Source organism: Homo sapiens, chromosome 18 (genome assembly GCF_000001405.40).
Source record: "Homo sapiens chromosome 18, GRCh38.p14 Primary Assembly".
Classification (NCBI taxonomy): Eukaryota; Metazoa; Chordata; class Mammalia; order Primates; family Hominidae; genus Homo; species Homo sapiens.
The window spans coordinates 61,492,915-61,509,742 of NC_000018.10; the positions used below are offsets into that span (position 1 = coordinate 61,492,915).

The 16,828-nt window shown below is 42.5% G+C and overlaps 1 protein-coding gene across 4 annotated transcripts in view; it reads left to right on the forward strand.

Annotated features, from left to right (window-relative positions):
- Window positions 1–16,828, forward strand: part of CDH20 (cadherin 20) — a 222,350-nt gene that overhangs the window by 159,485 nt on the left and 46,037 nt on the right. For all 4 annotated transcript variants that reach the window (XR_001753187.2, XR_001753186.2, NM_031891.4 and 1 more), the window contains exons 3-6: window positions 6,272–6,566; window positions 7,469–7,588; window positions 10,039–10,206; window positions 14,459–14,646. Coding sequence is in view for 2 of the 4 variants with exons in the window: in NM_031891.4 (NP_114097.2) it covers window positions 6,272–6,566; window positions 7,469–7,588; window positions 10,039–10,206; window positions 14,459–14,646 (771 nt within the window). In the remaining 2 variants the exon portion in view is untranslated. The remainder of the gene's footprint in view (window positions 1–6,271; window positions 6,567–7,468; window positions 7,589–10,038; window positions 10,207–14,458; window positions 14,647–16,828) is intronic.

The following is a 16,828-nucleotide window of genomic DNA, read 5'->3' on the forward strand; positions in this document are numbered from 1 at the left end:
GAATGTCTCACTGTGGAGTAAGGATTAAATAAGCTAATGCATGTAAAGCACTTTGCACAGTACTTAATCCAGAGTAAAACTTTAATTATCCTTAACCTGTAGTAGTAAATAGTACTATAGTAGCAATAGTATTAATAGTGGTAATAGTAACAGCATTTAAGGAGTTCATTATGGGAACTCAACGCTCAGTAATACCTAATGCAGCTGCAAATCCCTTGGCCTCAAAACCTGTGACTTTTCATTGACTTCTCCTTTCCTTATCTCCTTTTACCTTCACGTGCAATCGGTCCCCATATCTGCCAATATTTCTGTGCCAGTTTCTCTCGGATGCATCTCCTCCTCTCTAGGCTCGGTCATGACCATGATCCTTTGCTCTTCCTGATTAGATTAACTATGCCGGTGCTGCCTGTCTCCCTGTGAAAAGACTCTTCCCATCCCTCCTCCAGGATGCTCAGCGCATTCCTCTCCCTGAAGCACCCTTTCCATCATGTTGCTCCTCTGATTAAGAAAGCACTACAGTGCTTTTGAATGCTATCAGAGCTCCTAGCATGCAGTTCAGGGACTTCCTCCTCCCTCACTCAGCCCTCGTGCACAATTTCTCAAATCAGGTCCTCATCCCAATCAAGCTGGACCTCCTTAACTGGTTCTGCCACACATACCACGTTTGTCCCTGACCCCACATGTGTGCCCACGCTGCTGCCCTGCCCAGGACAGGCCCTGACTTCCGCTCATCAGGCCACATTCAAATTCCTCAAAGTTTTAGCTTAAAATCAGACAATTCTATCATGAACATATCTTGTATCTACTCAGAATTCCAAAGACTTCTAGCTTCTCCATATCTATATAACATTTCTTCCAAATAGACATACATGGCCACTGCCAAGTTCAAGAAAAGAGTATGTTTGTATTCAGCAATTTTCAGTAATTACTTATGTGCACATAAAATTTAGGGCTCTCTTCCCTCCTCCCAAGGGTAGAAATTGAGACGCCACTCACCAACTTTGTCTACACCTCCCTGACGCTGAGTACTTGGCACAGAACTGGCCACACACAAAGAGTGCAGAAGGGTAGCTCACGTTTTATTGGACTACCACAGTACTATGTGTCGGTCACAATCACATCAAAGCAGATCATTTAATCATCATAACAATGCTGTGAGGTGAGTATAACACAGGGAGCTAGACTCAGAGAGGTTATTTATGTTCATTGCCCAAAGTTAGACCGAAGGTAGCAGGGAAGCCCAGACTGAAATACACATCACTCCTACCCCAAAGCCCCAGCTTTCATTTACATTGCCTTGTCTGTGGTCAGTGGCTTTAGACTAAGCCCAGAGGACACACACAGGAGTCAGTGGTGTTTAGGTGGGATCAGGAATCTGAGCCAGGCTGCTTCCTGAACCCTTGATCTCTCATGCTGGGTAGTTCTTAGCTGTGTAGCACCCTTGCATACTCACAATTAGTGCTCGCCCTTTCCAAATAACCCCAACCAAGATACAAGACACCCATGCATCTCAACAGTCATCTGATCCAATCCTCATACCAGCAACCAAGCGAAGATTTTTAGCCTGCATTAGGTGTGTTACCTCTACATGAAGAAGATAATTATATATTCACTTTTCCCTTTTACTTTCTTTTGAAAGGGAATTCATCCACTTTCATTCTCTTTACCCAGGGGCATTCTGCTTGCGACCTTGAGCTCCGGAAGATGTCTGTTTAGAGAGCTTGCCAGAGTATTTGCTTATTTCAGAAAGGAGTATGGCAGCAATTATCAGCTGTAATTGGTATGGCCTTACAAAATCCACACTGGGCTTTCCAGGGACAAGGCAGTGTCAAGTTAAAGCTAGATTATATTGACATATGCAAAGAGAGGGATGCTGAGAGCTTGTGCACGAATCTGTGGGTCCAAATCATGCCGAGGTTAACAACTACATGGAAGCTGCCTAACCACAAACTGTAAGCACTCACTGCATACTCGAAATTACTCAAGGTACTCTGAAAGATGACAAAAGGAGTGAACATCATTCTTGTTTTTGAAATCCTCAATCAGCTAAGATTCTTCAGGACCTGCTTGTACTTCCCATCACTCACTACTCCCTTGGCTGAAGATCTTAAAAACTAAAGAATGATTAGGATAAGTGAGACATTCACTTGTCTTATTCTGCCTAAAATATTTTTTTAGGAAGGAAAAAAAACATTTTCCCAAGATGTACGTAACTGTGCTGCTGACTCTGCTCGGAAGCTTCTTACCTTCCTCCAAATAGCTGGTGCGCAGTCAGTGTTAGTTGAATTAAATATGGGCAAATATAAAACACATTTTTATTACACCGCCAATTTGCTGAGTGACTTGGAGAAAAGCTGTTAATGTCTGTTCTTTGCCATTTTTGAAACCAAATGTGTATTCTACGGCTGGTAAAGCGGAATATTAAATGTGCATTGCTGCACGGGTTATTAAGCTGGTGTCTCTCAGCCCCATGCTCACCTTTCCATACTCTGCTTTGGGTGCTGGGGCTGAAACTCTCCAAGCCGTAATTTCTCCTCTTCCAACCATCTCCTCTCCCAGGTAGGTTCTGCCTGCCGGTAGAAGGTACTAGAGGGAGCCCAGGAGGCAGGAGGAGGGAGGAGTGACTTGCTCCTCATCACACCTACTTCTAAGAGGTCTGAGTCCCAGGGAACAGGGGCACCTCCTCGAAGCTCCTGCGGCCCCAGCCCAAGGAGCAGCACTGCTTCCTCAGGGGTCTCAGGCCCAGCCTCAAGGGGCTCCGCTCCAAACCTGCAGATGCCAGAATCCCCACCTCCCTTGTGTGTTGCCCCAGCCAGAGGGGCACTGGCTGTTTTTCCTGGAGCTGCGCTCTCTCTCTGATGCCTCGGGGCTTCCTTCTGGCCTTTCAGCCCTCCACTCCAAATTCTCCCTGCTGAAACCAGGTGTGAGTTTTGTTCCCTGACTACACCAAGAACTGATAGGCTTATGGGCCTCAGAAACCACCTCTGTGTAAGTAGATCCTGACATGCTTCAAAGCTGAGATGCTTCCTGCTTCCCTGGGGCTGTTCTCTACCCGCTCCCCACTCCTTTTCCCTTTCCCCGCCTTCTTCCCTCTCCCCTCCACCCTTCCTCTCCCACCTCTCTCCTCCCTTCCTCTCCCCCCTCTCTCCTCCCTTCCTCTCCCCCCTCTCTCCTCCCTTCCTCTCTCCTTCTCTCCTCCCTTCCTCTCCCCCTCTCTCCTCCCTTCCTCTCCTCCTCTCTCCTCCCCTCCTCTCCCCCTCCCTCTCCCCCCCTCCTCCCTTCCTCTCCCCCCTCTATCCCTCTCCCTCCCTTTCCCTTTCCCCCCTTTCTCCCCGCCTTCTCCCTTCCTCTCCCTTCCTTTCCCTTCCCTCCTTTCTCTCCCCTCCTCCCTTTCTCTCCCCCTCTTCCCCTGCTCATGTGCACACTTGCACATGCAGACCGGTGCTCCGAACCTCCTGGAAAGCTGCTCCTAGCTCTGTTAACCAGGGCTAGCACCATCCATACGGAACTTTCGCCCTCCCCCAGACCCTTCTTCCAACACAGTTTCATTGCGCACTTACAAGACGTCAGGCCCACATCAAGATGAAGGTCACACGGAAAGCGAAGGCCTCACACTCAAGCGTCAGCCCAGACTCCAGGGCACCAGCCAGCTCCCAGGAGTCAGGGGCGCCCTGTGGTGAGCTCTGCCGCTGTCGCTGTCGTTTCTTAAAGCGCTTAAAGCGCGCTCACCTGCGGCCTGCCGGGATCACAGGTGTGCTGAATATTTCAAGGATCACGGAACAAACAGTTTTATTTGATAAATAGAGCACCTCGGAACAGTCCTGGGGTGGCCTTTCTGTCAGCTTCTGTTTTTCCTTCCCTACATCATCAGCAGTGCCCTAAATTAAACCAATTTCATTAAAAGTCCTATGCCACATGCCATAAAATTACATACATACACTGTTATATATATAAACATACACCTATATGCATACGTATACATGTTTTTAATTTAAAACACCTTCTGAAATCCTTGTTCTCCCCACACTTCTGTTCCTCTGCCTGAGAACACAGGTCCAAATGGAATAGATTTTCATTTGTTTGTGCCCAGGTCCAAATGAAATGCCTTTCTATTCTACACAACAAGAGATGGGCACCTCTACTTTTTTAACTGCATAAATAGAAGATTTGGATTGTAAAAAAAAAAAAGAAAGAAAGAAAGAAAGAAAGAAAAAAGAAAATACTGTATACGAAATGAGGAAATGTGAGAACTTCACATTCTAAATAAAATAAGTAGAAAAAAGCCCACAACTATTTTTTCGGTCAATTTTATTCCCTTATTTCTCTTTCTAGATAAGACGCAGCTGAGTTCCCCTAGGCAGCAAAACCATTGCCTGCATGATTTGGCCTTGAGTCAATCTGAGATCAGCTCAAAGCCAGCCACAACCTCCAAACCCATCCCTGTCGGAGGCTGTTGTGGATGCATTTGCAGGTGTTTTATTGGTGTTCATGCTGTTTAATCCTCAGAGTAACACTGTCTCAGCCATGCTTCAGGCGGCCTTCTGCAGCTTTTACCATGAGACTGTGCATAACAAAAAAGCCAACAGGTTGTTTTTGCCTCTCTGCCACCCTCCTGGAGGTCTGTAGGGAGTAGAGAAGAGCTGAGTGTGCTAATACCCTTTTCTCTATGCACGTGTATCATGGTTGGCCCCATTTATGGCCTTCCTATAATGGGAAAAGCACTGTGCTGGGTGCCTCACGTGCATTAATCTCTAATGATCCCAGTGAACCTTCAGAATAAGTATTAGTGCTGTCCTCACACTTATAAGGAAATTAATGGTTATAAACATAAAATAACTCATCAAGGGCCCTGAATTTATAGCTGGCCTAGACAGTGTTCAGGCCAGATATATTGGCCTCCCTGCCCCAAGCCTAATCCTGGCTGTTTTATCAAATAATCTCATGAACTTCACCCTGGACTATGCAAAGTGCTAACAACCCAGGCAACAATGGAGTGGCTGACTAAATTTAACTAACTGTTTTGTTACCACCTTTAGAAAGAGACCATTACCTATAGGGTTGCTCAAAATTACAGGGTTCTTGCCACCCATACATACTATCTGCAATTAATTAGATATTACAGATGCAGAAATATGTTTATAGGCCTGAGATTTTAAAAATATAGTACTCCTGGACTCCTTTTGAGAGTTATTAAAAGTATTCTGGCTGGGCGTGGTGACTCACACCTATAATCCCAGCACTTTGGGAGGCCGAGGCAGGTAGATCACCTGAGGTCAGGAGTTCAAGACCAGCCTGACCAACGTGGCCAAACCCCCACTCTACTAAAAATATAAAAACTAGCCAGGCATTGTGGTGCATGCCTGTAGTCCCAGCTACTTGGGAGCCTGAGGCAGGAGAATCGCTTCAACCTGGGAGGTGGAGGTTGCAGTGAGCTAAAATCATGCCACTGCACTCCAGCCTGGGTGACAGGGCGAAACTCTGTCTCAAAAAAAAAAAAAAAAAAAAAAAAGGATTCTGAGAGCAAATATAGCTGCATGGTCAGATAAAAGCATGTCCCTAACTCAACCATCCACATATAGATTTAAGTGACTCAGTTATGAACCCAAGAACCAGTCCCATCTAAAGGAGACACACACCGATGTAAAGAATCATAACCAGCAGTTAAATTCCATTTGACACCTGAAACACAAGCCCAGTCCTACCGAATGAAACTACAGAACTAGGATCACAGAATGGGAGGAAGAATCCACGGAGGTCATTCACTTTTCTCACTGCAGTGCCCTTAACCTTTTTATAAACTACTTCCATCAGCTTATCAGCCAACTTGAATTGTCATAAAACTGTTTGATACTCCAAAACTTACGGCAATTTCTTCATTTTAACACGTTTAGGCTTATCCATTTTATTTTTATTTTTCTTAAGTGGAAAGGCAGGAATCCTCCTTATTAAATTTGTTCTTATTCTAACATTGGGGATCTTCACTTTCCAGAGTTCCTGTTTTCCATACTTATCAGGGAGAAGAATTTTGTTTAAATAATGGTAAGTTCAGGATACAGAATGGGACATGGAAAATTTTACTTAATCAACCTACACCCACTCCTTGATACAATCGTGTCCAATGCATACTAGTTCTTTGTCGACAAACTTATTAAACATTTGAAAAATCTCCTTATGTAAAGGGAGGTTATAAGTTTGTAACAAACTGAAAATCAATGTGTTTTCTGACACCTGTTGACATTCATGATGAGAATTAGGTGCTTTCCTCTCCCAGCTTCATTCAGATATGGACAGGGGAGACGGATCCATCAAATACATCCTCTCGGGAGAAGGTGCTGGCATCGTGTTTACCATCGACGACACCACTGGAGACATCCACGCCATTCAGAGGCTCGACCGAGAGGAAAGAGCCCAGTATACTCTAAGGGCTCAAGCCCTAGACAGGCGGACGGGCAGGCCAATGGAGCCCGAGTCAGAGTTCATCATCAAAATTCAAGACATCAATGACAATGAGCCCAAGTTCCTGGACGGACCTTATGTGGCCACTGTGCCAGAAATGTCCCCTGTGGGTAAGGTGGTGACTCGCTGATTTTCACAAATAGCACCTCCTATATATATACACACACACACACATATGCACATGCACACACACATGTAGATACACATATATTCAGAACAGGAGAGCATGAGAGGAGAAGCTCACCAATTATAAAGCAACCAAAAATGACGACCAAGCCCTTTGGCTGGCAGGAAGCTATATAGACATTGGAATCAACCAGAGCAAGTAATAATAATAAGCCTATTAATGTTTTTTAGTTCTGATTCTTTAAAAACAAAATATTAGCTAGACAGATTTGTTTCATAAGGGAGAAATATTTTGTTATTATCAAAAGAGCAATAGGGTTAGGCGCGGTGGCTCACGCCTGTAATCCTAGAACTTTGGGAGGCTGAGGCAGGTGGATCACAAGGTCAGGAGATCCTGGCCAACATGGTGAAACCCCGTCTCTACTAAATACCCTGTCTCTACTAAAACACCAAAAAAATTAGCCTGGTGTGGTGGTGCGCACCTATAGTCCCAGCTACTCAGGAGGCTGAGGCAGGGGAATCACTTGAACCCGGGAGGTGGAGATTTCAGTGAGCTGAGATCACGCCACTGCACTCCAGCCTGGCGACAGAGTGAGACTCCATCTTAAAAAAAAAAAAAAAAAAAAAAAAAAAAAAAAAAAAAAAAAAAAAAAGCAATGAAGAGCCCAAAGGCTGTGTCCTTATCAGTCATTCAGAATTTAAAGCACAAATAACTCTTATCCCTACTAAACAGGTACAAGATAAGAGTTATGGAAGCTTGACCTAGAAAGGGGACTCTCCCAATGAAGCAAACACATTTGCAAATGCTTTAAGATGGACCGCTCAGGATTGCATCCAGCCTTTAGCTATTAGACTTGAACAGGTTTCTACCTCTTCTCTTCCCCAGGTACCTCCGTCATCCAAGTGACAGCCACAGATGCAGATGACCCGACCTACGGCAACAGTGCCAGGGTGGTGTACAGCATTCTTCAGGGCCAGCCATATTTTTCTGTGGACTCTAAAACAGGTATCTGATACAAGGGTCGAGTCAGAGGTGTTTATTCCCTGATAATTTATAACTGCTGCTATGACAGACCCAACTCTCCTTTTTAAGGACTCTCCAGGGAGTGTATTAACCAGAGAAGACTGCTCTTAGCTTTAGGATTAAGAGAGCAAACTAGCACTGCCCTGACAGGTAAGAGCAGCACTATGCATAGACAGTGAGCAGTGTCTGATTGGAGAGGCAAAAAGCCCCTCTGCGCAAACACACACAAAATAACTCCCCAATAGCCTTCAAAAAATCCTATGGTTATATTTATTCCCAGGGACTAAGGTCTTTTATAACCCCATGAAGACCCAACAGGATTGACACATTCACCTGGGTCATTAGAGAACTAGAAGCATTGATTGTGAAACTGGAAAGAGCCTTGGGGGAATCATCCAGTCCATCACCATTTGCTTATCAGATAAAGCAATTGGGAAATTGAGAGCTACTAAAGTTCATCTAGTGTAGAGAGGTCTCTTGACATGTGGTCTGATGTTCTTTCTATTGAACCAACCACTGTGCACTCAGCAGAGAAGTCCAAAATGAATGGTTGCTGGGGCAGACAGGTTTTGATGAGGGAGGAAAGACCAGGTGGGATGTGGCCCCCAAAAGGCAGGTCCTGATTGGGAAGCTCTCACAGGGAGGACATCAGAGAGAACTGAATGGGCGAGGAGCAATGCGGCAGAAAAGACAAACAGGAGTTTGGTGTTTTGTTTGCTTATTTATTTCTGTCTTACCCGAGAGCTTTGACTACAGAATTTACCTTTGGATGTATGAAAGATTTCATTTAATATGTTTGAGCTTGGCAAAGTTATTGTGATATCATTATTATCTTATACTTGTGCCAGGCTTCCCCTCTTATTAATACTTTCATAAACATTGCCATATTTGAGCTTCCCAATAATCTTGTAAACTAGCAAAAGATATAGGAAGTATTATTACTTCCATTTTATATGAGGGTAAACATGGGACCTAGGAGTAATTAACAAGGAACTTGAGTAAAGAAACTTACAGCCACAGAATAAAGTTAATGGTGAACACTCAAAGTCACCTCTTTATTTGAAAAAGAAAAAATACATTTCTATTATTAGCAACCTGATCGAATTTTTTTCCCAGAAGTCCTGAGGGAAACCAGACATTCAGAAAATTGTATCATAAAAGTAGTAAGGGAGTGTAAATTAGGAGGAGGAAAGAAAAAAGATTGCAGTTAGAGACTTCTATAAAACAGTAACTTTAACAATTCTACTAAGGGCAAGGGGGAGAATGAAGAGAGGAAGGGTGCCCACAGGGAGGAAAAATGCAGGGAGGAAGAGGGTAATGTGTCCTTTATATCCTAAGAAGAGTCTTAGATTATTTTGACAGCTCCCGGGGGGCATCTGTAGTGTTAAGGTCAAAAATACATGAACAGAGAGTTATAGCTGTGCCCATGGGGGGCCTTTTAAAAAAGAAAATGCTGCATATATCACTGGAGAATGTTATACTACAATGCAATATATACATTATAGGGGTAAACTGGGGACGGATTATTGTTCCCAGTCCCTTCCATTTTCATGCAAAAGGTCTATCTAGCCAAGAGTCATGTTGTAAAGCTGTAGTAAGTAAGCCTTTAATCTTTGCCTACAGTGTAGAGAAGTCAACTTTTTTAAGTTGCAGGGTTAAAAGGGAGACAAAACATTACTGTACAGGCTTGGCAGGATCACAACACATTTCAACGGATTTGGTGTAGGCCTCTCTTCTTAAATGAAACCGTATCTGCTGCTTGCTCTCTGGGGAAATTCATATCTTATGCATGGTAAAAATAAACAGCTCACAGAGCATCTTTCATGTCCTAGCTCACAAAATTAAAAGCACAGAGGTAAACAGAAGAATGTCACAAAACAGAATGAATATGTAACAACAGGAAAATCCAATTAGAATTCCAACCCTGCTTACAGGTAGTAGGGAAGCAAGAAAAAGCAGGAATGAGTTACCTAAAGAAGAGCCATTCACACTACAAGGGCTCTAGGGGCTGAAGAAACTGAGGGAGAATTATCTAAATTCACAGATTTGTAGACTTATGAGGCTTTGTTTTCTGGACCCAAAGCCCCCAGTTTTCCTTGGTGAGACAGCACTGTCTGAAATCGCCTTGGACCACAATTTCCCAGATCTGTAAGAGAAACATTGCTGCCACCTCCTGTTCACTTTCAGTAATGTTGCCAGAAGAAACCAGCCCTCTGAGCTCTTCCTGCTGGAATAAAAGTTTTCATTCACCACTGGTTTCAGTACAGCCCATTTTTGAAGCTGAGATTTTTTTACCTCAAATTTAAAAGCACAGGTGACTTGCACCTCACTTCTAGGCATTAATGGTGCACCAGGGAGACACCTAGAAACCAATCTTTAAAAACTGGACCTGTGGTTTTATTTTTATAAACAAAGTCATTTCTATCCTCCAGGTGTAATTAGGACAGCGCTCATGAACATGGACAGAGAAGCCAAAGAATACTACGAAGTGATTATCCAAGCCAAGGACATGGGAGGGCAGCTTGGAGGATTAGCTGGGACCACAACAGTCAACATCACCCTCTCAGATGTCAATGATAACCCACCCCGCTTTCCCCAGAGTGAGTACCTAACCCAAGAGAGCACAGACCTCGGGCCCAGAGGGACGCACCCGTTGCAGAGGTGCGGGAGAAAGCCCAGTTTGAGTTTCCTCATTAAATTCAATTATCCATAGATTCCTTTCTTACATTCATCATGCAATTCTCGCATAACTATTTGCCTTCAGTGTTCCAGCTTCCCATAGTACTAAACCAGGATTTCTCAAACATATTTTTCCATTTTCTCCTCCCTGTGGAATCTTTTTAGACTTTCTTTCCTGATTGCCACGCCCACCCACCCCACATAAAATGCAATACTAAGGAATAAGTTTTGTTGGGTAGAACTGACCTTTAGTGGGCCACAAACTAGTAATGCTGAGACTTTTTTCATCACAGCCCTGGAAACCTATTTTTGCCCCCAGGGGGCCATATTGATCCATTGAGAATGCATTCACTGATACCCAAAGCTGTAGATGGACACACCTGCCCATGTGACGATCTTCACCAATCACTCCAGTAGGTACCAAGCACTTGCTTGGTGAGACCCCTGGACATGAAGGGCACAGGAGGCTTGGAATCCTGTCTCTGCCCTTGTGAAGCTTCAAATCCACTTGGGAGGACACATCCTACACACAAGAAAAATTAAACCGTAGTAGCATTTGCTGCCACTTGAACAGTGCAAGATGATGCCTTCACACAAACTGAGATGAATGAAGCCTCCACAGAAGGATGAGATTTCAACAGGGGGCTAAAGAATATAACAGGTTTACATAGGCAGAAAAGAAAACATTCCAGAAGGGGAAGTCATTCATTTACTTATTCATTCAAAAAATATTTATTCCAGGCACTATTCTATGAATGGAACACAAAGCTGTATACAGACAAAACAACGTCTCTACCATCCTGGAGCTCATTTGAGTAAAAACCTGAATGGAAGAAAAAAAAAACTGCTGCCTGGAAATAAGTTTTCACTGTCACTTTACGTTCAAAGACTCCTAAAATTAAAACCTGCTCTTTCAAATGTGCTGTATCTCCAGTGGAAGCCATAGAAACGTTTTTGAGCAAGAGGGAGACATAAAGAAAGGCTAATTTGGTAGCCATGTAGAGGAGGGGTTGGCAAGGGCAGAGACTAGGAGCAGGGGAGTCGGTTAGGAGGCATTTAGAGTGGTCCAGACTTGAACTGCTAAGGACTTAAGGAAATAGCAGGATGAGTGGAATGGGACAAATGAGGAAACATGGACTTCTGCCTCTTGATTTCCTGGCTAAGGGAACCATGGCAGAGGGTGGAGTCAAAGATGACAATGACGTTTTCACTCTGGATGACAGGGAGAAGGATTGTACTACTAATAAAAATAGAGGACGCATAATGGAACGAGTGGCAGTGAAGGAGGGAGACAAATTCAGATTTGAATATGAAGTGACAGCAGGACAATCAGGTTGAATGTCCTTAAGGAAAGTGGAAATATAGAGCTATGAACGTGGAACAGAGCCCAGGAATGAAGACGTAAGTTTGAGAAGCAGATGCCTGAAGGAAGCAGCGGGAGAAATGAGAGCAGGAAGTGCAATTCCAGGTGAAACACTTAGCTAGGGAAACGGGGCTTAAAAAAGAAAAACTAAACTAAAAGGAGGAAGAGTCTAGCCAGACTAGCCAGACTGTCAGATGAATAGTTGCATTTTGAATCAGCCAGACCAAGCTAACCTTCCCTTGTATCTATGTAAACACAGGAGATCTCAAATATTTACATGCAAATGGAATACACAAAGTCCCCATGAGCATTCATGATGGAAAAAGCAGGATACTAGATAAGCATTTCACAAAGGGTGCAAGTAACTAAGTTCCTAAGTTGCTTGGTCCAACAGTGCAGAATTCGTATTCTGCATCACAGAACAGTTTGTGAAATGCCACATGGATGGACTTTGTATTGCTTTGGTGATTCTGTGGGTTCCATCTTCATTACTTCATGAAGGGCTCATATTACTCACACTATAGACTATAAATTCTTGAACACCCTTGAACTACTTGGCTTTTTACATTTGACACTAGACAGGTGTCTCTGATGGAGGCAGAAGGGACAGTAGAACCAGCTAATTACATAGCTCAGGTTATTACATAGCTCAAAGGTAGATGGATTCGGACATATTGCCGGGAGTCATGTTACCCCAAACATGGCAGCTTCACAATAGCAGAACACTATACAAGGATTACTGGGGTTTTAGTCTTGCCTCCGAAACCAATATCTTTTTTTTTTTTTTTTTTTTGAGACAGGGTCTTGCTCTGTCACCCAGGCTGGACTGCAGTGGTGCAATCACAGCTCACTGTAGCCTCAACCCCCAGGCTCAAGCAATCCTCCCACCTCAGCTCCTGAATAGCCAGAACTACAGGTGCACACCACCATGCCCAGCTAATTTTTATATTTTTTATAGAGATGGGATTTTGTCATGTTGCCCAGGCTGGTCTTGAACTCCTGGGCTCAAATCATCTGCCTTCCTCAGGCTCCCAAGGTGCTGATATTACAGGCATGAGCCACCACACCCAGCCTCAAGCCAACATCTTAATACCATTCTAAAGCACACATTTTAAGTTGTCACTTTTTCAAAATATAGTTTTAATGGAGACTCCAGGATAGAGTGGAAGCATGGATTATGTTTCATGGAAGACAAAAGAGAAATATAAAAAAGTTTAAATCTCTGTGTCTCTATGCATTCTACACACGTTATCGCTGCTTCCTCTTTTTTGACCTTTTAAAACTTTGCATTCTCTCTTCATTAAATAGTTCCCCATCTATTTGCTAAAACTAAGTTTAGATGACCTTGATATTCCATAAACCTATCTTGGCTATACTCTTATGCCTAATTAATCTAATGAGTCTTCATTGTAGGAATTCCATTTTGCTTCTTTTTCACAAATATTACTATAACTGATTGTGGAATGTTGACAAAATGATACACCTACTATTTTACATTGAATAAGCTAAGCCACCTTTAATAGAACCAAATATAATGAAACATCAAGATCTCAAGCTATTTATTTATAATATAATGTATCATGTAGAAATTGTATGTAGATGTTTAAACATATAACATAGCTTTATTGGGATGAGGAAAACTGTAGGCAGATGCTTGTTTTTCCCAAAAGTTCTGCAACAGCAAAGTGTAATCCATCAACAACTTTGGAAGTAAATGGAAAGAGATCATGAAATCCAATTCCCTGCCAGCTTAGTACAAACTTTAAAGATTTCCTGGCTCATGTTTGTAAAGAACAAGCATCATTTCTTCTCCTGCGCAAGGCAGGGTGCTGTGAGCTGGCTGGGTGCTGTCAACCTCCCTGATTCTTTGTGAAACTTGAGCCCTCACACCTGAGGCTATAGCTTACAAAGCATATTAGAATAAAAGGGAACACGTACATATTGAAAATGTGATTGTGTGATTTTTCTTTGTTATTTAGTCAGTCACATTATGATTGACAAAATAACAAAAAACGTCAAAAAGTTGAGCCCCAGAAAAAGTAAGTTGGTAAAAATACGAATTCATGGAGATGAAAGTGAACTAAATTTAATTGTGAGCTCAGGATATCATGTCCAAAAGGAGATGTCCAACTCTGAGCTTCTTACATATGTGAGAACCTTTTTAGTATTTTATTCTGGAATAAGAAAACAAGAAGCATGAAGGGTCTGTCCATGGAGAGGCAGGCTGGGGCAGTCTGGGGTGTAAGGACACACTGAGGGGCAGCACATGGAGCTGATGGAGCTTGCTCTCCACGGCTGCCCCCCCTTTATAGATCACTGATCTCCATGACCTCTGAGCAGGTGTTGCTGGAGACAGGCACTCAGCACACAAGCCAGGCCATGAAAAAAAAGATGGACATTTGAAGCGTAAACAGAATAAATACGCACTTTGTGACCACAGTGTTTATCACTCTCAGAAGGAACTGCAATTTAAGGAAATACTTCAGTTCACTAGGAAGCACTAAAAGATTTGAATCCAAGGTACTTCCTACCACTCAAGCTACAGTCACTAGGACTAAGTCGTTTTGCTTTCACCCTGTTCTACTGAAGCCTTTTTGACTCCTCCTTATTGAACATCCAATACAGGCTATGGCCTGTATGACCGTTTGCTCAGCCTTTCTGGACCTTAGTTTTTATCTGTAAAAACTCAAGTTTTACTTTTTGAACCCAGAAAAAAAGATATTTTGCACAGCACTCCTGATATGATAATGATGAGGCATTTTTTATAGTGACGGATTATCAAGAATGCGTGTCCTGGCTTTTCTTCGTAGAACATTACCAGATGAGTGTGTTGGAATCAGCTCCAATTAGCTCCACTGTCGGGAGAGTGTTTGCCAAGGACTTGGATGAAGGCATCAATGCAGAGATGAAATATACTATTGTGGATGGAGATGGTGCAGATGCCTTTGACATTAGCACAGATCCCAATTTCCAAGTTGGTATCATAACTGTGAAGAAGGTAATCCAACTCCTTTTTCTAAACCACTTTCATGGGTGCTTTGAATGTTTATGAAATGCTAGTAAGGACTGTTGTATTATTGATATGCATTGCTTCAAATCATCTGATAAAAGTGCTTTCCTATTATTTAAAAAAAAAAACACACAGAAAACCTCTTAACCCTTATGTTTACATGAAAACACTGGCTGTGCCATCATTTTACTGAAAAGGTACCAGGTCATGATAAAAATATATTATAAATATATTTCTAAATACATTCCTTCTACCCAGCCACTTAAAAACCTGTTGTAGCTTAACTTTCTAATGATGTTAATGACTTGATCAACATTTGCACTTGAATAACATATGCATTGTAGCATACCATACCTAACAATAAAGTAAGCCATAATATTATTTATGAATCAATAAATAACATGCAAGGGTTTTTTAATTGCTTCTCAAAGATCTGTAAATTCTAATTAAACTTGAAAAAGCTTTATCAAACATAGCTGCTGAATGGCTGTTATCACTTGAAATTCCTTTGTTTTATAAGGTACCAAGATAAGCTATCAATTCTTTCTGTGACATAAAGCACATATGGATATACTGAGCTAGAAGATAAAACTTTTTAAAAATTGAATCTTTAACTCCATAGTAAATATATATCTAATGAAATACATTAATTTTAAATGATATTCTCAACAAATTTATTGAGTGCCACCTATGTGCCAGATATTGTTACAGGCATTTAATACAGAGTAAATAAAACAACCAAAAACCTCTGCCCTCATGGAGTTTACATTCTAGCAAGGGAAGAAGACAATCAAAACATCAAGTCACTAAAGTAGTTTATTAGAAGGTAATAACTGATATGGGAGGGGGAGCCAGGAAGCAGAACAGAACACAATAAGTGAGGCCAGGAAAGCTAAGATGATTTCAAACTTAAATTGGATGGTTGGCTAAATGCCCATCAATCAAAGAGTGGATAAAAAAACTGTGGTAAATATATATAATGGAATACTACACAGCCATAAAAAGGAATGGACTAACAGCATTTTCAGTGACCTGGATGAGATTGGAGACTATTATTATTATTATTATTATTTTTCATGTTCGAGACAGAGTCTCACTTTGTCACCCAGGCTGGAGTACAGTGGCGCAATCTCGGCTCACTGCAACCTCCGCCTCCCAGGTTCAAGCAATTCTCCTGCTTCAGCCTCCCGAGTAGCTGGGACTACAGGGGCACACTGCCATGCATGGCTAACTTTTTGTATTTTAGTAGAGACAGGGTTTCACTGTGTTACCCAGGCTGGTTGTGAACTCCTGAGCTCAGGCAATCTGCCCCCCTCAGCCTCCCAAAGTGCTGGGATTACAGGCGTGAGCCACTGCACCCAGCTGATTGGAGACTATTATTCTAAGTGATGTAACTCCAGAATGGAAAACCAAACATATTCTGTTTTCATTGTTATGTAGGAGCTAAGCTTTGAGGGCGTAAAGGCATAAGAATGATACAGTGGACTTTGGGGACTTGGAGGAAAGAGTGGTAGAGGGGCAAGGGATAAAAGACTACAAATATGGTGCAGTATATACTGCTCAGGTGATGGGTGCACCAAAATCTCACAAATCAGCACTAAAGAACTTACTCATGTAACCAAATACTCCCTGTACCCCAATAACTTATAGAAAAACAAAATTAAATAAATAAATTGGGTGATTGGGACTGGTGTCACAGAGAAGTGGCGTTTATGCAAAGACTTACAGTGAGCAGACTCATACCACTGAGTTAAGCAGGTTGACAGTGTGGGAGGTGCCCTACAAATGACTCTTTGTGAAAAGCATACGTGGCAGTCCTAGAGAGAAGAAATGGGCATGAACTATTGAGGAAAGCGTTCCAAGCAAAAGGACAGCCAGTGCAAAGGCTTTGAGGTGGGACCATGCCTGTTGTATTTCAAGAACAGCAACAGTGGGGTCATAAGGCTGAGTGGAGGGGGGAACTCTTAGGAGATGAGGTCTGAAAAGTAACAAAGGAGCCAGATCATTTAGGACCATATAAGCTAACTATAAGGACTTTGGTTTTTACTCTGAGTAAAGTGGGAAATGACTGAAGGATTTTTAACAGATGTATGACATGACTCGGTTTTCATTATAAATACTCAGTAGGCTGTGTTGAGGTCAGGGGAGTTTAAGGAGAAAAGGACAGAAA